Raw genomic sequence first — 24,514 nt, 5'->3', positions numbered from 1 at the left:
ACCCTACTCACTTCTATTTTTCAAGGCTTTTTTTTTCAAAGCAGCTTTAGGTTCGCAGAAAAATTGAAAGGAAGGTATATTAGTTTGTTCCCATGCTGCTAGTAAAGACACATCCAGAACTGGGTAACTTATAAAGGAAAGAAGTTTAATTGATTCACAGTTCCGCAGGCTGGGGAGGCCTCAAAATCATGGCAGAAAGTAAAGGGGAAGCAAGACATGTCTTACATGGCAGCAGGCAAGAGACAGCTTGGGCAGGGGAACTCCCATTTATAAAACCATCAGATCTCACGAGACTTATTCACTACCAGGAGAACAGTACAGGGGAAATGCTCCCATGATTTAATTATCTCACCTGGCCCTGCCCTTGACACATGGGGTTTATTACAATTCAAGGTGAGATTTGGGTGGGGACACACCCAAAACATATCAGAAGGTATAGAGATTTTCTATATACTCCCTGCTCTCAAGCATGCATAGTCTGGCCCATTATCAACACTCCCATCAGAGTTGTATATTTGTTACAAATGATGCACCTACATTGACACATGATGACTACCCAATGTCTATAGTTGGCATTACTGTTCACTCTTGTTGTACCTTCTATAAGTTTGGACAATAGGTAGATACAATAATATGTTTTGAGATACATATTATTGTATCTACCATTATAGTATCATACAAAGTATTTTCATTGCCCTGTTCATAATAATAAACATAACATTAACAGCAAATACTTAATGAGCATTTTAATATGTACTAGATACTGATACTTCCTCTTCTGTTTTTAGTTTAAAAAATTTTTTTTAAGTACGATTGATAAACTTTACAAATTAAAATGGGGAGAGAATGGAAAGAGAGGTAGAGAAAAGGACAGAGATGGGCATAGCTTTATTTTATAAAGTACGGAGTCAAGAGGTGCTATCTACAGTTGATGGAAAGAGGAATGGAGGTCTTAATTCCTAAGACTGGAAATATGGCCAAGAAAGGAATGAAAAGTAATGATGTAACAACATTGGGAGGAGCCAGGAGGGTAGGAGAGAGTGTATAAGTGAGTTAAATCCTCATAACTCATGGCAAGAAATCAATTGATACGGTGGTTATGTCAAATTTGAATTTCCCAAGCAAGAATTTGTGGTGTATACATACCATTTAGATAGGCAGAGACACCACCAAATAAACTCAAAACCAAAATCATTAAAAGGGGTTTCTGGGGTCTACTAAAAATAGAAAGAAGAGGTCAGAGGCTCTTGTTTTATTTTATCCTATCATTTCTTAAATTTGTATTAATAAAATATCCTAATATGTTAAAATGTGAGTGTTATTTTGATTGAAATTAAATAATTTTAAGACACATAAGCAAGAAACACTAGAACTACAATGAAATCGATAAAAGTGAGAGTATATGGAGAGACCAACATCTTCTTTCCATGTAGATAAAGTAAGCTAATAGTAAACAAAGACAACATGGAATTGTATAATAGAATTAATAAGCAAGATTCAATGTTTATATGTCAAACTTTGTGCCCTTCACAGAAAATACTTATGGAATATTTTCTAATTTTTTCCACAAATAAATTCTCAGTGAATTTCCAGAAGTAGAGATTGTACAGGCAACAAGACTCCAATGCAAAAATGAATGAGATTAGAAATTTGTCATTTTTTTTATGGAAAAACAAAATATGCTTGAAAACCAAAGCCTACATAACCAAAACAATCGTTAAATGAAAGTAGAAATCAACATAATGATTACTTATTTTGCAGAAAAAACCAATAATAACATTATTTATTCAAGGCTATCAAATTATACTGGAAGGAAAATTCAGTTTTAAAAAAACAAGGAAGAATGAAAATAAGTGATGCAGTCAACTCAGGAAGTTAAAAAAAGGCAATAAAAAAACACAAGAAAAGCAGGAAGAAAAATTAATAAAGATTAAGACCAAATTAATGAATTAGAAAGCAAATATCAAATTAATAAATCTAAGAGCTCATTATCTGAAAAGGCTAAGAAATAGACAAATATCTGGCAATGAAGAAACAACTGTGAGGAAACCAGATAAAAACACCATTCTGAGATTCAGAGTTTGTTTTTACTTATTAAAGACCTCTACACAACTCAATTCTTAAAATTTTCACCCTCTCAATACAACACGTAGTATTAACATAATGGATAGAGGAACATTTGCATATAGAAGTGATGCACATGTTTTAACACACATATATATATATATATATATATATATATATATATATATATATATATATATATATAACCCATGTATGTATTAACAGAATTGATAGAGGAACATTTCCAACATTTATGGAACAATTTGGGAAAACTGTTCAAGCATGTCTCCAAGTTTCACTTATCCTCCCTAAGCGTTAACTGATCAACACACAAGAAACCTAGGGATGCTGAGCTTTTCTTACACTTTTTGTTGCATTGAATGCCGTGCTTGTCTCTCATATGACAGGCAGCTTCTCCTTTCTTTCCCCTCCTAAAGTAATGGATATTGATTAACAGAAGGCCAATTTGACCAGAATACAGTGTTCCTCCTCTCTCTTCCCAGGTCTCTGGGTTCAATCACATTAAGCAGAGCTCTAACAGCTACTCTATCAGACTTACAGAGAGCAAAAAGTTTCCATGGGCATAGGGCAAAAGAATATTCTAATAAGGACAAGCTAATCATCAATTATAGCAGAATAATTAAGTTGTTTTGTGACAAGCTTTAGTTCTTCACATACAAAATGGAAGTATATAACATCAGATTGCATCAGTTTATCTTATGAGCAGACAGAGTGGCAGCAGAGGGGAAGACACACCTCATGCACTTTCAAAGAGAATTTCTTTCCAAGTAAATGAAAACAACATGGTCAATTAACTTCCTCAAAGCACTTTCAGAACTCAACTCCATTTCCCGTCTTTGTCAAGCTAGTTATGTACTTCAGTGCTCCTGGCTTTCCCCCAAAAAGGAGAAGGCATTTGGGTTGAAAGCATTTCTTAAATGAATTAATTCATCACTCTAAGAAACTCTCCTGTACCCCCTACTTTCATAAGAATTAACTAAAGTTATAAAACAAAGTAGAAATGCATCTCCCACTCAGTTTTTATGCATCCAATCTGGCTGCTCCTTCAGCATACCCTATGAGTAATTGTATTTATTCCCTGCTTTGTTCCAAAAATGATTTAAGGGTGAGTCCTATGAATAAGCCTCACATTAATGAAACCCTTTCTAAGCTGGCTCTGAGTAAAGACTGATAGCAATTTTATGGAGGTTTTAATATTCAATACAGTAACATGTTCGAGTACAAAACAACATTACAATGGAAAACTTTTTTAAAGCACTAGTTTGGTGGATGCTATAGTTACCAAAGTGTTATTGGGTTTGGTTTTGTTTTATGTAAGATCTTTCTCATTTGCTTTCCCCTGACATTCCCTGCAGACACCAACCTGGATCAGGCTCTCATTAAATGATACCTGGACTATTGTAGTACTGTCCTCAAACTGGCCACGCCACTTCCAGCTTCTCTCCTTGCAATTTAACCAACAGACTGTTGTCAGATTAACCTGCTAAAATGTAGCTTTGCACATACCTTTTTTTTTTTTTTTTTTTTGAGACAGGGTCTCACTCTGTTGCCCAGGCTGGAGTGCAGTGGCACCATCACGGCTCACTGCAGCCTTGACCTCCCAAGGCTCAGGTGGTCATCCCACCTTAACCTTCCAGGTAGCTGGGACCACAGGTGCATGCCACCACACCTGGCTAATTTTTGTAACTTTTGGTAGAGACAAGGTTTTGCCATGTGGCCCAGGCTGGTCTCGAACTCCTGGGCTCAAGTGATCCTCCCATGTCAGCCCCCCAAAGTGCTGGGTTTATGGGCATGAGTCACTGCACCTCACCCCACTCTTCAAGCACAGAACCCTGAAATGGCTCCTCACCCCAAAAAGAACCTGTCAACACGGGAGCCTGGCACTCAAGGTTCTCTGTTTCTGCACCCCACAGGTGCTTTATTTCTGTTTCATTCAGTTATTTCTCACTCCCCATGTCACACTGTTGTCATCATGCCTCCTCTCTGTAATGCCCTTGCTGATCACAATCCTGTCTCTCAACACCCTGATCAGCATCATCTCCATGAAATGTGAATTGAAAAGTTCCAACAATCTCACTCCTTCTCCACAGGTTCATGGCACCTGTCTACACCAATCACCTGGCATGTACCAGGCATGACCCAATGCAGTCATTCCTTTTTCTGTAGACCAACGTATTCTTTCTCCTAAACCTAACTAAGCCACTTGAAACAACTAATTGAGACACATTTGTTTGTACAAAGAAGGCATTCAATATATGTTTGGTGATTAAAATAACCTAGTAGACTTGCTCATGCTTCTCAAACAGGTGTATGTAACACCCCAGGGTATTGTGGGGTACTGGAGGATACAAGACAAAGATAAAGCATCTTTAAGAAGTTAATTTTGGCCAGGGACAGTGGTTCACACCTGTAATCCCAGCACTTTGGGGGGCCGAGGCGGGTGGATTACCTAAGGTCAGGAGCTCGAGACCAGCCTGACCAATATGGTGAAATCCTATCTCCACTAAAAAATACAAAAATTAGCCAGGTGTGGTGGTGTGCGCCTGTAGTCCCAGCTACTCGGGTGGCTAAGACAGGAGAATCACTTGAACTCAGGAGGTGGAGGTTGCAGTGAGCCGAGATCGTGCCACTGCACTCCAGCCTGGGTGACAGAGCAAGACTCTGTCTTCAAAAAAAAAAAAAAAGAAAAAAGAAGAAGTTAATCTTACTTCAATAATTTAAAATGTAATCTTTAAAATGAAATCAGGCCAGGTCTGGTGGCTCACACCTGTAATTCCAGGATTTTGGGAGGCTGAGGCAGGAGGATTGCCTGAGCTCGGGAGTTTAAGACCAATCTGGGCAACATGGTGAAACTCTGTCTTTACAAAAAAATTAAAAAATTAGCGGGGTGTGGTGGCATGCACCGTAGTCCCAGCTACTCAAGAGGCTGAGGTGGGAGGATCACTTGAACCCAGGAGGTCAAGGCTGCAGTGAGCCGAGATCATCACGCCACTGCACTCCAGACTGGCCGACAGAGCAAGACCTTGTCTCAAAAATAAAAATAAATAAAATCAGGCCAGTTGTGGTGGTTCACACCTGTAATCCCAGCACTTTGGGAGGCCGAGGTGGGAAGCTGCTTGAGCCCAGGAGTTTGAGGCTACAGTGAGTCCTGATCGTGCCCCTGTACTCCAGCCTGGGCAACAAAGCAAGACCCTGTCTCTACAAACAAAATTACTTAATTAAAATCAAAATAGTATGGAGGTTATAATTTTTAATGAATGTTTAAATGAACAATAAAATTAAAAAATAAAACCAGAGACCTCAAATAAGTGTCTAGCCCTCAGCAGTTAGCTTGGGACAATGCTTCCAGGTCATCTTCTGTTCCCTCCAGTAGTAAATTAACATTCTTACACCAGTTGAGGATATTTATTGTTTGAGAAATACCCTGCAGATTATGAATGGGGAGTGGGAGAAGAATACAACCACTTATTTTTATCATTTTCATTTTAAGGTGCAATCAACACACATTTTTGTTTTCCTTAAGGTAGGTAAAAGAAATTAAACCTGAAGATTTTTTTCAAGTTTTTTTTTTTTTTTTTTTTTTTTTTTTCTGAGACGAAGTCCCGCTCTGACACCCAGGCTGGAGTGCGGTGGTGCGATCTCGGCTCACTGCAAGCTCCGCCTCCCGGGTTCATGCCATTCTCCCACCTCAGCCTCCCAGGTAGCTGGGACTACAGGCGCCCACCACCACGCTCTGCTAACTTTTTTGTATTTTTAGTAGCGATGGGGTTTCACCGTGTTAGCTAGGATGGTCTCGATCTCCTGACCTAGTGATCCGCCCACCTCGGCCTCCCAAAGTGCTGGGATTACAGGCGTGAGCCACCATGCCCCACCACAAGTTCTTATTTTACTTCCTTGGCTATGACACACTTGTGATATCAGATGTAAATATGAGGACTGAGTTTTAGTATGACCACTCTTAAAACTTTTAAAGCATTCTTTGAATATTTAATTAACTTGTTTTTTTAATTAACTTATTTCTTTATTTACCGTTTTTCAAAGTTCACAAGTAGTTTTGTGTTCTACTTTTGAAAATCGAATTCATTAAAGACTGAATAAAAATTTTGTTAACAAAGTCGATGTGCCTATTTATCTTCTCATTCACACAAACATACATGCATATATACTATCCTATATGCTATCAATATATATACCTTAAATTTAACTCAATTTGCAGAAAATACAATGTATACTGAAAAAAATTAATAACAAGCCCCTTAGACTAACACACTCATAATAATCCATGGTGTGCTTCAAATAAGGAGAGTGAGGTCCTGATATTTTTTGTATAGGTACTAGAAGAAACATGTCCCTGGAAATTCCCCAAGCAACTTTGATTATAGGTCTTTTTAGCCACCAAGAGCTGTAGATAAACCATGAGGTTCAACCACTACTCTTTGAATTTGCTCATTTTAAGTAAATTGGCAATATATTTCATATGCTTCTGGCATTATCCATAACAGCATCTGGAAGCTGCTTCTGAGGATTACTTTGTCTAAGAAGGAGAATTTCCCTTGAGCTAACTAGTTTCATGCATATAGAGCTCACAGAGGGGGCTGGAGGTTTTTTCCATCTTAGTCAAAATGTTAGGTTTGTACTGAACCTAGAAAACAGTTACTTCCTAATTTTCTAGATGAGGCAACCGAAGCCAAGAGAAATTGTAACTTGTCCACAAGAGACTAGGAGAGCTATCAAACTTCCCTCCAGTCTTTCATTTCTAGTCAAAAGCATGGCTATGCTAGTTTAAAACATCTACAGCATCTGGCCGGGTCTGTATTGCTGCACTGGGGGTGGGAGAGGGGAAGAGGCAATGACCTTGACTTTTGTTGCACGTCCCTCAACAACAGGCAGTGACTGGTTAACTCAGATCCATCTGCTTTACTGGTCTGACTTGAATGGAAACACCATCCTGTACTTTAAGCCAGCTCTTAAAAGAGTTGTCCTTCCTGAATCCAAAACAAGATTCAATCCAATCCTGAATCTTCTGAAGGTTTGTTTAGAAAGCTCAGATCAGGTTTTCTTCTGAGTCCATTTAAGAAAATCTGTCCCACATATAGACCAAATGGACCTCCCAAGGACACTAGCCAGAAGCAGAATTGCTGATCTCCTTGGCTATACTAGACCCAATTCCAACGGTAAGTCAACAGTTCCCAGGTAGAAGTTAGATTTTGCTAACTCTTCCCCAAGTTTGTGATGTCTTCAAGCAGATTCTATTACCTGTGAAAACTCTTTGCCTTCATGGGGCTGGGAAACAGAACAGATTTTAAAAAGCTAAATTTCCTTTTGAAAATGACAAATATACATACTCTCGTAGCCATTAAAATGTAAAATGGAAGCCAGAGATGTGTCAGAAGAGGAAGCCAAAGAGGTCTGAAGTATGAGAAAGACTCAATGAGCTGTTGCAAGCTTGAAGATGGAGGGGGCCACGTGGAAGGTGTGAGAAGGAACTGAATTCTGACAACACCCAGAGAGCCTGGAATAGGACTCTGAGCCTCCCTCCAGAGGAGAACACAGCCCCATCCAACACTTTGATTTTTTTTTTTTTTTTTTGAGACAGAGTCTCACTTTGTGGCCAGGCTGGAGTGCAGTGGCACAATCTCAGCTCACTGCAACCTCCACCTCCTGGGTTCAAGCGATTCTCCTGCCTCAGCCTCTTGAGTAGTTGGACTGCAGGTGCCCACCACCACGCCCGGCTAATTTTTGTATTTTTAGTAGAGACAGGGTTTCACCATGTTGGCCAGTATGGTCTCAATCTCTTGACCTCGTGATCCGCTAACCTCGGCCTCCCAAAGTGCTGGGATTACAGGCATGAGCCCCCACACCTGGCCAACACCTTGATTTTTAGCCCAGTGAAACTTCGAGCAGAGAACCCAGCAACATCACGTCAGACCTCTGATCTACAGAAACTGAAGTAATAAATGTGTTGTTTTTAGATGCTTTTAAAAATTAAAATAATGCAAACAGGTCCCGAGTTAGTTCATGCAAGATGTGGGTTCAAGTTCTAGCTTTGCCACTCACCTGCTGTACGACCTGCACCATGTCTTCTAACCCCTGAGTCTCATCTCCCATCTGTACATTGGGGGTGGGGGGGTGTGAAGAGTAATATCTACTTTCTAGAGTAGTATGAAGAGCAAAAGGAAACTGCATACTATAAGGCATTATTTAAACACTAAGTTCTTACCATAAACCTTCCCCCCAAAATCAATGTGTTGATATAAATTCTGCATTTCTTTCCACATATTCCCCTCATTTTAATGAAGCATATACTTAGATTTAACTATTTTGTGAAATATTTGTTAAACAATGACATAGGATTTTTTTTTTAAACCTAAAAAGAAAATACATTTACGGAGGGGGTCATACTTCTCTCAACACAGACAAGCTTGAAATGTATTTCAGGACTACCCTCCTCCTGCCCCAAGTTTGCCCCCTCTTCTCCTCTCAGAACAATGCCTGGCTAAAAACTGATTGACTCGGCCAGGCGCAGTGGCTCATGCCTGTAATATTTCAGCATTTTGGGAGGCCGAGGCAGATGAATCACTTGGGGCCAGCAGTTCAAGACCAGCCTGGCCAACATGGTGAAACTCTGTCTCTACTAAAAATACAAAAATTAGCTGGGCGTGGTGGCACACGCCTGTAGTCCCAGCTACTCAGGATGACGATGCAGGAGAATTGCTTGAACCCAGGAGGCGGAGTTTGCAGTGAGCAGAGATAGCACCACTGCACTCCCGCCTGGGCAACAGAGCGAGACTGTCTCAAAACAAACAAACAAAAAACTGATCAACTACACTTAACAGCTGCAAGCACACCTAACTCAGTGGCTCGCTCTCCTCACACCTCCCTAACAACCAACACTTAGAAGCACTTTGACATTCGGGATTTTACTCGATCCACCTAAGCCTGACCTGAGATAGGGATGAAATGACGCTATACAATAAAGGGCTGGCCCCAGACCATACCACCAGTCAAGAGCACAGCCAGGCCTAGAACTGAAGCCATCTTATTGCCAGCTGGGCGTCTGCCTCCAACCCCACACCACCTGGATTGGCAGAGGGCCGGGAGGACAGAGGACGCTGCACACTTGTTCTGTGGCCAGGGTGGCACCACGTTTGCCAGCCCTCTCCCAGCACCCTGTTCACATGCCCTTGTGGTGCCAAAGTCCCAGGGCCAGGCTGGAATTCAGGACACACCACACAGGGTGGTATGTGGATTTCTGAACTTGTTTTAAAATGAATTGGCTTGTCTTCAAAACATAAGTCGAGGCTGATCAATAATCAGAAGTCCCATAACTTACCTCAAAAATACCTTCATGTTCATTTTATCTGAATGTGTTCAGTACTATTGATGTTAACCACCCCTCCACTCCCCACAAAAGGAAATATATCTTCTTGAATCATGTCAGGTCCTTAAGGAACTACAAGATAAAACGACCAACACTCAACTTAATTTCCTTCTCATCGAAAGCCCGAATTCCTGATTTAACAGCTAAAAAAAAGCAAAACTGAGGGCAAATATAGCACTGATAAAAATCGAAAATCATAAAGGCAGAAAATGGAATTGAAAGGACTTCTTTATGTATGAGAAATTAAGTTCATTACTTGGAGTCCCCTTTCTAGCTTTGGAAACTGCCAATTGATTTAATGGTAGGCTACAAATACACATTTGAGTACAAGTTGGCAGTGTTAATAAGAAAGGAGTTAGATCTGAGTCAACAGTCCCTTTGAATCTTGATTGTAAATATCAAAAGGAACTTGTGAGAATGTACTTTGTAGGGGAGAGGCAAGCACTTGGGCATTTGGGGTAAGTATATAGATTCAGCTATAATTCTGCTTCCAATACTAGCAAGTCAGATGCAGACCGCCTTGTTATTTTTCTAGTTACCTTCCATCAACTGTCCTTCTCTAGCCAAACTTCAAGGAGTGAGGTGAGGGGATCTCAGGGGTACCCACCAAAACACAGCCTCTAAGTGATGATTTGAAATATGTTCTTACATACATCTCCACTGATGCAGATAAATGAGAGGGTACTATGTTCTCTTAGGACTCACAGATTTGGGAGTGAAAGACTCGAAATTACTAATGAAAGAGCATTATAGAACTTTCAAGTCGTAGTGCATTCTTTTCCTGGCTGTCACTCATCAGTATGAACCTAAGCAAGACATGAATACAAAACATTGCTTTCTTCATAAAATGGATCTAATCTGCTCCATTTATCTCAAAGGATTGTTCTCAAAAGTTCTTTAGTTTACGTAAAAATATACAAATAAAACATTATAATTGCTATTAACGCATTTAAGCAGATTCGTTTCCTTTTTCTCATAGTGTTGGGCATTATCTTTAGGGTCTAAAGAAAACTAGATTTATTATCTAACAAATGAAAATAATTGAATTACAGAAAAACCTAATTATTATTCTCCTCCAAATCATCAGATTCATAACTTAAATTGCAATGAGTTTGCTGGTTAGGGCACTGATTAAAATCACTGCTATATAAAATGGTTCATTCAATATTTCTTTGGGAATGCAAATTCAAGGTTAGCAAACAATAAGCACACTTTCAAAATGAAATAATGTTGACATTCTAGGAGATGATTAAGAAAATTAAGAAACCATAACCCAAAAGTATTTTTAAATGATCTTATTGATTTCCTCAAAACTGAATGATTAGAAAATGAAATTTGAATTGTACATCAGTTGTAAACCTTTGTATGCAGGTACCATTTTAGAAGCATCCAGCCTTCAATAAAAAGGTTTCAACACCAGTACAGGAGAGTGAGCTTTCGGTTTTATGGAAACACAAGCTCTAGTTGTTAAGTAATCTTTGGCACCCAACTTAAGACCTGCCTCGAATACTAATTCAAATGGAAATGACCTTAACACTCTTAAATCCTTTCTTAAAAAATCATAACAAGGAAACACATGCCTCTAGCAGACTTTTGGAAGGTTAGAACTGACCTTAGCGTTTAGTCCAACCTTTATTGTACAGAACAAATGGCTTTGACACTTGGCAGCATTTTTTATTAGAATGATCAAAGATCTGTATTATTGGTTATTGCTCTGGATAATGATGAGTTCCTATGCACTGGCAGTGTGGACTATCACACCTACAAAGAAGAAAGTGTGTAACAAAGGCATTACACTTGCCACCCCCCCACCCCCTTTTTTTTTTTTTTGAGACCGAGTTTCGCTCTTGCTGCCCAGGCTGGAGTGCAATGGCACAATCTTGGCTCACCGCAACCTCCACCTCCAGGTTCAAGCAATTCTCCTGCCTCAGCGTCCCAAGTAGCTGGGACTACAGGCATGTGCCATCATGTCCAGCTAATTTTTTTTTTTTGTATTTTTAGTAGAGACAGGGTTCTAATTTTTTGTGTTTTTAGTAGAGACGGGGTTTCACCATGTTGGCCAGGCTGGTCTCGAACTCCCGACTTCAGGTGATCCGCCCACCTTGGCCTCCCAAAGTGCTGGGATTATAGGCGTGAGCTACCACACCTGACCCCCTGACCCTATTTCTTTTAAGAAGTAAAGTAGCCAAGAGTTATTTCCATAGATGGTATTGCAAATTCTGGTACATTTTGTAAATTCAGAACCTAGGATTTAACAGTAACTTGGTTGGTTCTCAAAGGATAAAACTGAACATGCCTAGAATTGTGCAGCGCAACAAAGGTTAACACACTTGATTTCCTGCTTACATTTATTGTGGCTAGAGAGCCTAAACAGCTATTTTCTTCTCCAAAAATTGGAAAAATATAACACGATAGCAATTTTTTAAATACATAAAACTTCCTGGATCATGAATCAACATGAGACATAATAGCCTGTAGATATCAATTGTGATCGCTTTATAAAATGTCATTCATCTAATGCATTTCTGAAATTGCCCTTAAAGCTACACATACACACATGACTCTATATCACATAAAGGCATCCATTCATGAACAGAAAGAAAAGTCTTTTATTAGTACTGTGTAGGGAAGGCTAAAGAAATATACATTTAATTCAGAATAATTTTTAAGAAAAAACGTGGGGTTCCAAGAAATGGTGATTTACATTCAAATGAACATGTACATTTGCAAACCTGGATAAGTAGATATTTTCATGAAGCACGCTACAAGAAAATTCACACAGAATTATTTGTTTTTCAAAGGCCTCTTTCAAAGTACAGACTCCAAGTCCAAAGCAAATACCCATGGCATGAACAAATAGGATGCCTAAGATTCTAACATTTGCTTCGGCATGGCTTTCCTCCTCACTTCCCTACCTCACAACAAGAAAAAATTTCCTAGATGGGACAATGGCAAGATATTGTGCTAATACGTTTCATAGGATTTCTAGATGCTGGGCTATAACATCCAGGTTACAATTTGGTGACGGATTTTTTTATTTCTATTGCAAATGGACTACACTCCAAACACAAAAAGATTCTTGCCATAGCATCCAAACATCCCTATGTAGACCCACACTTCCTCTCAATACAGAAAGAGAATCACTCAGAAAGGACAAAGCTGGCAGACCAAGAAAGGAGGCAAGGGTAAACTCTGTCACTGGCCAATTATCTAAAACAAAAATAGCAGCCTCTGTTATCAAAGTTGTCAGTTAAAACTGTCAGCTGTCAGGCACAGTGACACACACCTGTAATCCCAACACTTTGGGAGCCCAAGGTGGGTGGATCGCTTGAGCCCAGGAGTTTGAGACAAGACTGGGCAACACAGAGAAACCCCATCTCTACAAAAAATACAAAACTTAGCCAGGTGTGGTGGTGTGTGCCTGTAGTCCCAGCTGCTCAGGAGGATAAGGTGAGAGGAACACTTGAGCCCAGGAGGTAGGGGTTGAAGTGAACCATGATCATGCCACTGCACTCCGGCCTGGGTGACAAAGGGAGACTCTGTCCAAAAAATAAAAATAAAAATAAGTCGCCAGCTCTCTCCTTTATAAACAGTCTTTAGACTGGTTTGTATCATGCCCCTTGATGTACCAGAGATATGTTTAACCAACCTAGTTTTGTTGATTCTGACAATCTCACACACATTTAAGAATTTACCATTTTTCAGGCACTTTTCAATGTTAAAAAAAATTAAATCCAATTATTGAAAATCAGTTTGACAAACAACCCCCACTCCATAGCCCTGGCAAAAAAAAAAAAAAAAAAACAAAAGCAGCTAATTCAGTGATACAAACTCTGTAAGGTGGCAAATTCCCTCAACTCGCCAAGGAAATAGCACATATTTATTTTCTCCCATCTTTACTCCAAATTTGGGACCTCTTCCTCTGATAACACAGTCTTTTAGGTTACTTGAAATCAGCCCCCATTTAAAGACTCTTTGCAGCACCAAGCTTAAAGAGTTTACTGACAGAGGACTTTGCCACTATTAACATTCTTGTTACAAAAATTCAGTTTCAGTTGAGTTCTCGTAATCCCCTGAGCAGTTATAAATGCCTTTTACCTATAATGAGGCAGTGGGCTACGTGTAAAACAAAGCAAATTAACTATTCAAATATATGTAAATCTATAATTATACTAACATGAACTACACTGATAGTGTTTTTTTCTGAAGTGTTTAGAGTTTCAAAAGAAAAAGACACAATATTGAGAAATTTCTAATAAATGATTAAAAATGATTTTGGTTGGTTGCCATTCCCAAGTTTTCCCAGAGTTCTCATCTATGTTCTACACAACATGTAAATTAAAATGTACATAACCAACAGATGTACTATACACACATCAGATATCAATATATACTTGTGAATTAAAGTTCCTGAAATATACACATCCCCACTTAGGATATATCCTATTACATAGGCAAAGCATCATCCTTTAACAATAGGTCCGAGATAGCAGCAATTTGATATTCTATTACCCAGTTACCTCAGAAAATATCATAGATCCTGAATAGTTCCTGATATGGTATCCCTGGCTTCAAGAACTCTCCAGTAACATTTAGCATAGGTCTCATGAAGCACCAGGCTACATTGCCAATAGCAATTATATAATCCTGTCATTGGAGAAAAGGTTTTATCCTTTCAAAACCTCGTTATTCAAATCTGACTAATGGTATAATGGAAAAAATAAGTCACAATGAGGTGATACATAAATTTAAACTAAATTATATAAAGCATTTCTATTTTATTTCTTACATGTTTTTGTTGCGGTTTTATCAGTGCCTTGAAACAGAAAGTATTCAGACTGTCCTAACAGATGCTGAAAGAGCAATAATGATGCTGAGAAAAGAGCTATTCTGTGTTCGAAAACATGTAAATGACTCGGTTATCAATTAGCGTTTTTACAGAGATGGCAGGATATTGTACTAAGCACTGTTTTAAAAGAGTTATGAGTCTATACCCTTGGGTAAGTTATGAACTTACAACCAAAATTCACATATATAATATGCAAAAAATCTTTAGGCAGATTTACAATAAACCATTTCAGTCACAAAAGGATAGAATGGCTCTTAAGTAAACATTTATTTTGTGTGTACTATTGGGTATATCCATGCATGCTCAATGGATAGAAATTACAGGTAGGCTGCAAGTCACATGGATTCTAGATGTACATAATACGCACTTTAATATTTACCCTCCATGTGTACTCTTAGGCCTGATTCCAAATCTATTGGCTGTGTGAACACAGATCCTGAGAAAGGTCCCAGATATCTATGACGAAAGTTTTGAAACTCTACCACTCTACCCGTATTTTATATGAAACAATTCTGTAGACCACAGCCACTGGCTGTAAGAGACAAGTTGGCCAACTTAGAAAACTTACATTTGCCAAGGGAGAGACACTAAATTAGACCACATTGTTTAACAGGCTGCAACTCTTTTACTGGGAAGGGGCAACTCCCTCTGCACAGCAGTTTCACCTGCTTGAAGCTGAGATCACACAAGGAGAAGCCTATTGTGTTTCTGCCAAATCACAGCGGGAACATGGGGACAGCACACCCAGTAGCCAGCAGAGGCACAACCACCATATCAACTGCTGAGATCAGCAGCCTGCTTTATAGCTCCTATGAGGATTTCTCCTTACGCAGTCTTATCCTTCTCCTCATCAGGTTTCCCCTGTGTTTCTCATGGCAGTCAAATCAACACAGAACAGACTCCAGCTTCTTGGTTATCTTGTATGTTGCCAACAATGACAACACATTTGTTATATCAAATGTTCCCGCAAGCTCCTTGAATTTGGCTGGAAGTTGAACAGTCCAGTGAGATCCTTTGGATGATAAAATGATATGTTCATTCATCTCAAGGAACCCCAAAGCTCCATAGAAACAGCTGGACCGTTGAGCCCAGTTCTTGTTACACAGGAACACTCACACCCAGGACTTGGCCTTTCCTGATGCTGAAGGCTGGCAGGCAAGTTCAAAGTCTGGACACGGAGGCACTTTCAAAGTTGGCAAGGAGAAGGAGGCAAGGTCACTAAATGGGGCTTTATCACTGTGCCATCTCATGTAACTCACATATCTGGGGCGTATGAACACAGAGATCTTTAGGTTGTGGATGGGTCGTGCTTTTTCTTCTTGCCCCGACAGGACTTGCAGACACAACAGATTATACATGGGGAGGCCAGGAGTAACAAGGGTGAAGTAACCAAGGCAATGATGCCCAAGCCTACGAGAATCCCCACCACCTGGAAATTTCAAAGAAAAGCATATTTCAGCAATTAAGTCTTTCAATATGTATACTTATTCCAACTATACTGTTATCTGCTGTGGGCCAAATGTTTGTGTCCCCCTGAAGCTCATATGTTGAAACCCTAAATCCCCGATGTGACGGTATTTGGAGACGAGGCCTTTAGAAGTTAGTTGGTTTATGAGGGCAGGGCCCTCATGATGGGATTGGTGCTCTTACAAGAACAGATGCCAGAGAGCTTGCTTTCTTTCTCTAGGCTCTATGCCATGTGAAGACACAGCAAAAAAATGGCCATCTTCAAACCAGGAAGAGAGCCCTTGCTAAGATATGACCATGCTGTCACCTGAACCTCAGACTTCTCAGCCTCCAGAACTATGAGAAGTAAATTTCTGTTCTTTAAGCCTCCCAGTCTATGGTCATTTGTTATAGCAGCCTGAACAAGACATCATCTCAGGCACACAGAACAGTTACATTTCTGGGACCTTTCAGCTAGTGCCCAGCAATGATCTGAATTGGAGAGAAGCCAGAGAGATACAAAGGACCAAATCAAGGATGGAAACCATCCAAATGCTAACTCAAGCTGTCGCAAGCTCAGTATAGTCATGAATTATTGGTATTGGTGCTCTCTCTCTACTTGAATTTCCTCAACTAGCTCAAAGGGATGTTAATGATTACTAGGATATTAGCACTGACTCCCTCCAAAGGAATACCGCCTTTAATAAATATAAAACACTATTAAAAATTAAAAATAAACCATGACTCCTTTTGAACCTGCCACATAAACACACAATGGCATGTACACAGGGATCTAAGCCCTAGAAGGGGCTCACAGGGTTTTAGAGCACTGCCTGATATGGTTTGGCTGTGTCCCCACCCAAATCTCATCTTGAATTGTAATAATCCCCACGTGTCAAGGACAGGGCCAGGTGGAGATAATTGAATCATGGGGGTGGTTTCCCCCATACCGTTCTTGTGGTAGTAAATAAGTTTCATGAGATCTGATGGTTTTATAAATGGGAGTTCCCCTGCACAAGCTCTCTTGCCTGCCACCATTTAAGACATGACTTTGCTCCTCCTTTGCCTTCTGCCATGATTGTGAGGCCTCCCCAGCCATGTGGAATTGTCAGTCCATTAAACCCCTTTCCTTAATAACTAACCTAGTCTCAGGTATGTCTTCATTAGCAGTGTGAGAACAGACTAATACACTGCCTTTGATAGGTAATATGCCTTAAAGGGCTTTAGGAAAGTCATTCCACTGTTTCTCAAGAGGAAAGAACATCTGCCTGCATTCTGCACGTCACTGTTGACTGCCTGGCAGCTCTGGTGCCCCTGTTTCTCCGCTTGTCCTTAAGGAGACTGTGCTCATGAATTAACTTTAGGTATTTACCCCATTACTTTTCCCTAGCCCTGCCCTAACACTCCCCAGAAGCTCCCAGGCTGGGATGGTACCTCCCAGGAGGGAATAATGAGGAAAGGCGAAGAGGTGGGCTCTTTAAGCCATCACGATTTTGGTTTATGTCACGCTCCCTATAAGGTCAGGGTACCTGTGTTCGGTTCCACATCACTGATGCTCTTGAGTGGCCAAGTTTATTCCTGCATGGCCCTTTGTCATAATGTCTGAGGAAAATGTCATTCTGAAAAATAAAAAGATTGATTTCAGTAAATATGCAGTTTTAAATTGAGAAATGAATACAGACCACATCAGATCACCAAATGGAAGGCAAAGTTTTTCTCTGGTGATATCAGTGACCCCCTCTAGGAATTCCAAGCCTGTAATCTTTATCTTGGTAGTTTTGTAAATCACCAAAGTGAAAGCAGATCATAATCAATACGAATCTCAATTAATTATTTTTAAAAAGAAAAAAAAAGAGTAGTAATGACCTGACTACTTATCTTAGCAAGGTAGCTCTGGCGGAGGTACAATGGAATGGGAAGACCAGGAGCAAGGCAGCTGAAAGGCTGGTGTGGCAAACCAGGAGAGAGAAAATGCCAGTGACTGAGGATGGATGGAGAAGAGGAAGTTACAGTCCTCAGATATTAAGAAAGTAACTGGAGAGAAACAAGGAGAAGCAATCACAGAGAAGGGAAAGTGATTGGGTTAAAAGAAGGCAGTCGCTTTATTGAGAGAAGTGACAACATAGAGATGGAGTTTGTTGGGAAGATAAGTTTGGACACGTTGAACTTGAGAGATGGTTGAGACATCCAAGCAGGGCTGTTCAAAAGGCAGTTCATCACAAAGATCTACACTGAAAAAAAAAAAAACTTGGACCTCAGCAGAGAAACTAGCTCAGGGTCCAAATTAAGTGTAGATAATCTATCTAATGGTCTGTTCATTAGACAAATGGAGAAAGGGGACTCAACTGGGCATCGGTGTACATGGGGTAGAAGAAACCATAGAAGAGACTGAGATTAACTAGGAAGAGGGGTAAACTGAGAAGCAAAGAGGCTGCTGAACACAGGCATTTAAGACTGGATCGAGGAAGAGGCTAAAAAGGGAACTGGGATATGACCAGAAAGGTAGAAGAGAAACCAACAGAGGTGGTATCACTGAAATGGAAGTGGTCAAGATGTTAAATGCAGCAGAGAATCTAGGTATGCTAAAAACAAGTACTATTGGATTCTGCCAATAAGAAATCACTCAAAATCTGGGAAAGAGGTACAGTCGGGGTGTGACTACGTGGCAATCCGAACACATTGCAGTATTTGGAAGGTAAGTAATGTCAGTAGCAAGAGGTGATTAGGCTTTTTTGAAGCTTGGCTTCTAAAGGAAAGATAAATAGAGGGGTAGTAAGGAAAAGAAGTAGGCTTTAAGAAAAATGTTTACTCGTGTTTAAATGTGACACAGCCGAATGCATGGATATGTTGAGAGAGTGGAGAGTGGAAATTGAAACCACAGGAGAGGAAAGAGATAACTGAACAGCTCAAGTCTCTAAGGCTATGGACAGGAATAGGATTCTAAAGCAGACAATTAAGCGTAACTCATCCTCTGAAACTACAGGGGTGAGAATCAAGGCAGGAACAAGCTCAACTCCAACAACACTCAAAATTCCTGTTTGGTGTCCGTCTCAGGCCTGGATTTTAGACAATCACCCCTCTCCTGGCCCCATGATCTCAAACTTTCCTATAAACAGAGATCCACACCACCATCTGATGTAGAACTCCACTTGCGTAGAGAAAAACATCATTACCAACAATCCAATGCCCCTGGCTAAAACTGAAAATGAGATCTTAGAAAACAGTCACCAGAAAAAAAGATGCTTCAATATTTGAAGTCTGTGTATTCAGCCATTTAACATCTGCACCATTTCATCTCCAGAACCAGAGCAGCACAAGAGACAGAACAGCATGTCCTTTGCAACACCATCCCCCAAACACATTTCAACCAAAGGATGGAGATCTGGTGCACATATTTGTTCCCTTACACTCTGGCCTCCTAAAGAGAACCTCATGGGCTCAGCCTCCTTGTGGATATGAACCCAATTAATATTCTGGTGAAACCTGAAGGAAAACAAAAAAAAATTGTTTTTCATTTGTAATGCATGTGTAATGTACAATCAGTAAAATCCTCATCCAGAATATCACTCACTTAGATGCATGCTAGGTCTTAAATATCAAACATAATTGTAACTCAAGGGCCTATGATAAATCAATTTTTAAATAGAAGATATTTCTTCCAAACTGAGCTGCTGAACTTCTAGAGTCTAAAATGTCCATTTTCTTCTCCTCAGTTTATACCTCTTCTTAAATCACTAAGATGGAGGTTATTATTCTTATTCATACATGTCATCTTAAACAACATATCTAGTTTTCCATTAAACATCAAGCAGGTGGTGGCCTGCTTGATGACATTACATGCTAACTGCACACTCACTCACTAAGCATGTCTGAACTAAAGCACTACACAAATCGCTTGTTGAATTAAAGCAAATCAAGCAATCAAAACAAAGAGCTGAGAAAAGAATAGCAACTCAATGGTAACTGAGGGCTTACGCTGATATGGACATATTTTAGAGGTCCAAATTGCCAAAACAGAGTGTTATCTATAAACAACTTATGTTACCCCAAACTTTAAAAGACCAGAAGTGAAGTAAGACCTTCTCACCAACTCTTTGCATCGCATTTTTAACTCTGAAGTTACCATTAGCCTTGGCACAGGGCTGAATAAAACTGCACCTCAATTTGAGACTTGATTCATGAATGGTGAGAAAAAATTAAGCCAAGCCCCTTGATCTGGGAAGGGAACACTGTCAAAACAGTAGCGATACTGCTGCATGCTCATGAACAAGAGAGAGAGAGAGCGAGTGAGAGCATGCAAGAGAGCATGAGGGAGAGAAGAGAGTTAGGAGACACCATTGATTTGAACCATTTTTCTTTAAATTCAAAACGAAGAAAAAATCTAATAGTGGTAGGCAGAATAACTACCTCCCAAAGATATCATGGCCTAATTCCCAGAATCTGTGAATGTGTTACCCTATATGACAAGAGGGATTCTGCAAGTGTGATTAAATTAAGAACCTTGAGATAAAGGAGATTATCCTACATTATCCTGATGGGCCCAATCTCATCACATTGGTCCTTCAGGCAGAGAACCTTTCCCAGCTGTGGTCAGAGGGAGCAACGACTAAGAAAGAAGGGAGTGAGAGATCTGATGTTGCTGGCTTTGAAGATGGAGGAAGAGGCCACAAGCCAAGGAAAGCGGACAGCCTCCAAGGCAAGAAAACAGATTCTCCCCTAAAGCCTCCAGAAAGAAATGCAGCCCGGCTGACACCTTGATTTTAATCCAGCAAGACCTATGTCAGACTTCCAAAGTGAAGAACTGTGGGATAATAAGTTTGTGGTATTTTAAGCCACTAAGTATGTGCTAATTCGTTACAACAGCAATATAAAATGAAGACACTAATAGTCCTTTACATAATAGAGACAATGTGCAAATAGCAAGAAATGCCCTGAAAACAAAAGCTTGCCTTTAACACCAGGGTGGCATATGTAAGGTCATCAAAAAGATGTTTTTAGATATCTAAAGTATCAGGCTTAGTAAGTCTCATTAAGAAAAATAAATTCCTTTTGCAGGACAAAAATTGCCCCAATATTTTAAAGGAAAATCTGTAGGATATCAGCTGTGGTGCAGATACAGTATAGGAAACACCATACAACAAACCTAGGTGGAACTTACATCCAAGTTCTGGAGGCAGTACCAGCAAAATGTATGCTTGCAGTTTTTGCACATCATCTGAGCGCAGCCTTCATTGCGTTCGATATAAACCCGGCAAACTGGGCACTGCTTAATGGGGGCTTCTGCATCTGTCCCAAAGAGGGCTCTAGAAACAAAATGGATGAGAAATGGCATTCAGCTGATGGTCATCAGTTGAATTCCCAGGGCTCCTGATGGTTAGATAATGAACTCACAGTTATCCATGCTTAATTCACTTCCAAAAGAAAGGGTGTGGGCAAAAACATTATTAGATGTACAGATAACTCATACAAGAAGGAATCTTTATTTATTTTGGCTTTCAGTGAATTATATAATTACAGTTTCCACCACTGATTTAACTCACTATTTTGTCAAATTAATATTTCATTCCCTAAGCATGCATTGCCTAAATAAGAATGGCAAGGAGTTGGCTACACAGCAGAGAAACTAGGTCAGGGTCCAAACTGGGCGTATATAATCTATCTAATGGTCTGTTCATTAGACAAATGGAGAAGGGGTTCTCAAATATAAACACTTTAAAATAATGTCAAATACTTTCAAAAGACCTTCTCCAAACAGACGAATAGACCAATACAGGCTCACAGCCCCAAGGGGCACAGAAAATAAGCAACAGGAATTGGAGTGAGCGATAGCACCATGTAACACTTTAGCTACTGCCCATCAAAACCACCACCCAGCACACAGAGATATCCAACTCACAGAGTGTTGTCAAATCTATTATCAGACTTCGTATGAACAATAACCTCATATTGTCATAAGACAGTTATTACAGGTTGAGCATCCCTAGTCCACAATTTGAAATCCAAAATGCTCCAAAATCTGAAACTTTTTGAGTGCCAACATGACAAAGGAAATGCTCATTGAAGCCTTTCTGACTCCTGGTATTCAGAGTAAGGATGCTTAACCAATAAACATATCATGAAAATATTTCAAAATCTGAAAACACTGAGATCTGAAACACTTCTTATCCCAAGTATTTTGGATAAGGGATGCTCAACTTGTATCTTAATTCCCTTATTTTCAGATAGGGAAACAGACTCACAGAGGCTGAGTGGCTTCTATGAGACACACAGATACCGAGTGACAATGTCAGAATGCAAATCCTCCTATCCTCTGAGTTCTTTACGTTGCCCTGTGATACCCACGGAGCTTCCTGCTATGGCCACGAAAATGTAGGCAACAGTGGTTTGAATCCGGCTAAGAGGGCACATGCCTGCCATGTGTATTAGCTTCTCTATTCCTCTCCATTTGTTTGTTCTGAGATTCAAGCACAGCATCGTAGCCAAGTAGCATTACTATTCATGAAGCCTGGTTCTACACATTCTGGGTGCACTGTGTGATTAAGCCAATGGGATTACAACACTCGTATTTTGTTCTTGCTGATGCAGAACAACGATAGCCTCAAGCAAAGCAGGAATGAAACACAGAGGTCTCTCACTCTGGGCACTGCTGTTGCCATAAAAACCCTCTGTATCGCCCAAGTGTGGTGGCTTATGTCTGTAATCCTAGCACTTTGGGAGGCCTAGGCGGGTGGATCACTTGAGGTCAGGATTTCAAGACCAGCCTGGCCAATATGGTGAAACCCCATCTCTACTAAAAATAGAAAAATTAGCCAGGCGTGGTGGCAAGTGCCTGCAATCCCAGCTAATCGGGAGGCTGAGGCAGGAGAATCGCTTGAACCCAGGAGGCAGTGGTTGCAGTGAGCCGAGATCGTGCCACTGAACTCCAGTCTAGGCAACAGAGCAAGACTCTGTCTCAAAAACAAAACAAAACAAAAAAAAACCCGCTGTACTAAAAAGGTACAGATTTAATTGCTTCCTATCACGATAAAATCTCAACCTTTACAGAGCATAAAATATCATGAGAGAACCCTCCTTTCTACGTGCTGAAAGAATTTAGGACCGTTGTTTCTATTGTTGTGTTCTTTCTAATATGACTGTCACACATCATGAGCTGGCAATTTAGTCAGGTAAGAAAATTTCTTTTCTCATTTTGCAAGCAACAAGAATGATATATACCAATACAGGCAGATACTGTATCTGAGCAAAGAGCGGGAACAAGTCATGATTTCCTACTGAGAACCAGTAGACCACGGTGCCTCACTACCTAAAGAGAAAGCAAAACTCATACAAACTTTAATTCCAGCAATATCTGGAAGATTCCTCTGGGGCAAACAACTAGAAATGCTTTTTTGTTGGCAACTTACCAATTCTGAGACACTTCTCAGGGAAGTTCTGCAGGAAAATAACCAATCTCTAAACGCCATCACAACGTAACTCCTTCTACACGTAAGGTATGTTGAATTTCTAAGAAAACTAGTGAATAATCCCAAAGACAAAGTTTCCTTTCTTACCGGTGCTCTGTTGGCAGGACAATAGGCTGACTGTCTCTACAGGAGACCTCTGCATGCCAAGCATCCTTGCAACACGAGCAGAATTTCAGGTGGCAAGAAGGGCATTCCACCAGCACAGGCTGTCCTGGGTCACTCGAGGCAACAGGGCACACTGTCTGACAGTCTGCAACAGGACACCATGTTCGGTAGGGGTCCAGATGAACTTCTAAAGTGTAAAGAAAGAAAATGTGATGGTCTGCCCGATTCATGTTTGAGTCTTTCTCACCTTCATTTGCCCTCTTATTTATTTAATTTATTTGGAACCAGAGTCTCACTCTGTCGCCCAGGCTGGAGTACAGTGGCATGATTTCAGCTCACTGCAACCTCCCCTCCTGGGTTCAACCGATTCTTCTGCCTCAGCCTCCCGAGTAGCTGGGACTACAGGTGCGCACCATCACGCCTGGCTCATTTTTGTATTTTTAGTAGAGACAGGTTTCACCTTGTTGGCCAGGCTGATCTCGAATTCCTGACCCCAGGTGATCTGCCTACCTTGGCCTCCCAAAGTGCTGGGATTTTACAGGCATGAGCCACCACACCTGCCCCATTTACCCTCTTTTTTAAACTGACATTTATGGAAGTATAATACAACAAGGGTGAGGATTTCTACTATTAGTCTTCATAATGGATCCAAACCTATCATTTACAAGGTCGCTAAGCCCTGCCACATTTCTCAAAGTAGGTACTAACAGAATAGCTTACCATTGCCTTTATGAACAGATAAAAAGTGTTCTCTGTAAACAAAATTCACAAGACTTTTAGAATATTTCCCACCTTTGAGCACGTAAAATAGGCAAAAATCTCAAATCCCTTCTACAATTATTTGGGCACTATCTTGGAAGAGAATTGGACATAAAAAGCAAATTTTTAATAAGATATTTTTCCAAAAAGACTTTGTCCTTTCAGGCACTGAGAAACAGATAGTGAGGTTTCTTCCACATTCCCAGGAAATTAAAGAACAAGGAAGAAAATAATCAAATAGTTTAGGGATTAAACAGTATCTGGTGTGGCTTAGCCAAGAAGTTGGATTACCTGTCAGTTTGGATATTCTGCTCCCTACCAATGTGCAACTTAGGGACAATGTGTGAAAGACCCACATGTGGGCCGGGCACTGTGGCTCACGCCTGTAATCCCAGCACTTTGGGAGGCTGAGGTAGGCGGATCACA

The 24,514-nt window shown here is 40.3% G+C and overlaps 1 protein-coding gene across 2 annotated transcripts in view; it reads right to left on the bottom strand.

The window, feature by feature from the left end:
- Positions 1 to 11,800: 11,800 nt before the first annotated feature.
- The window catches only part of RNF144B (ring finger protein 144B), an 81,521-nt gene continuing 68,807 nt past the window's right edge, over positions 11,801 to 24,514 (bottom strand). For both annotated transcript variants that reach the window (NM_182757.4, XM_047418594.1), the window contains 4 exons: positions 23,312 to 23,516; positions 20,920 to 21,064; positions 17,291 to 17,380; positions 11,801 to 15,744 (listed from right to left, as the gene is read on the bottom strand). In NM_182757.4, the coding sequence (NP_877434.2) occupies positions 15,604 to 15,744; positions 17,291 to 17,380; positions 20,920 to 21,064; positions 23,312 to 23,516 (581 nt within the window). In that variant the 3' untranslated portion in view covers positions 11,801 to 15,603. The remainder of the gene's footprint in view (positions 15,745 to 17,290; positions 17,381 to 20,919; positions 21,065 to 23,311; positions 23,517 to 24,514) is intronic.

The sequence above is a fragment of the Homo sapiens genome, chromosome 6 (assembly GCF_000001405.40).
Source record: "Homo sapiens chromosome 6, GRCh38.p14 Primary Assembly".
In the NCBI taxonomy this organism is placed as follows: Eukaryota; Metazoa; Chordata; class Mammalia; order Primates; family Hominidae; genus Homo; species Homo sapiens.
Note: the sequence above shows the minus strand (reverse complement) of the source record. Positions and strands in the feature narration are given on the sequence as shown.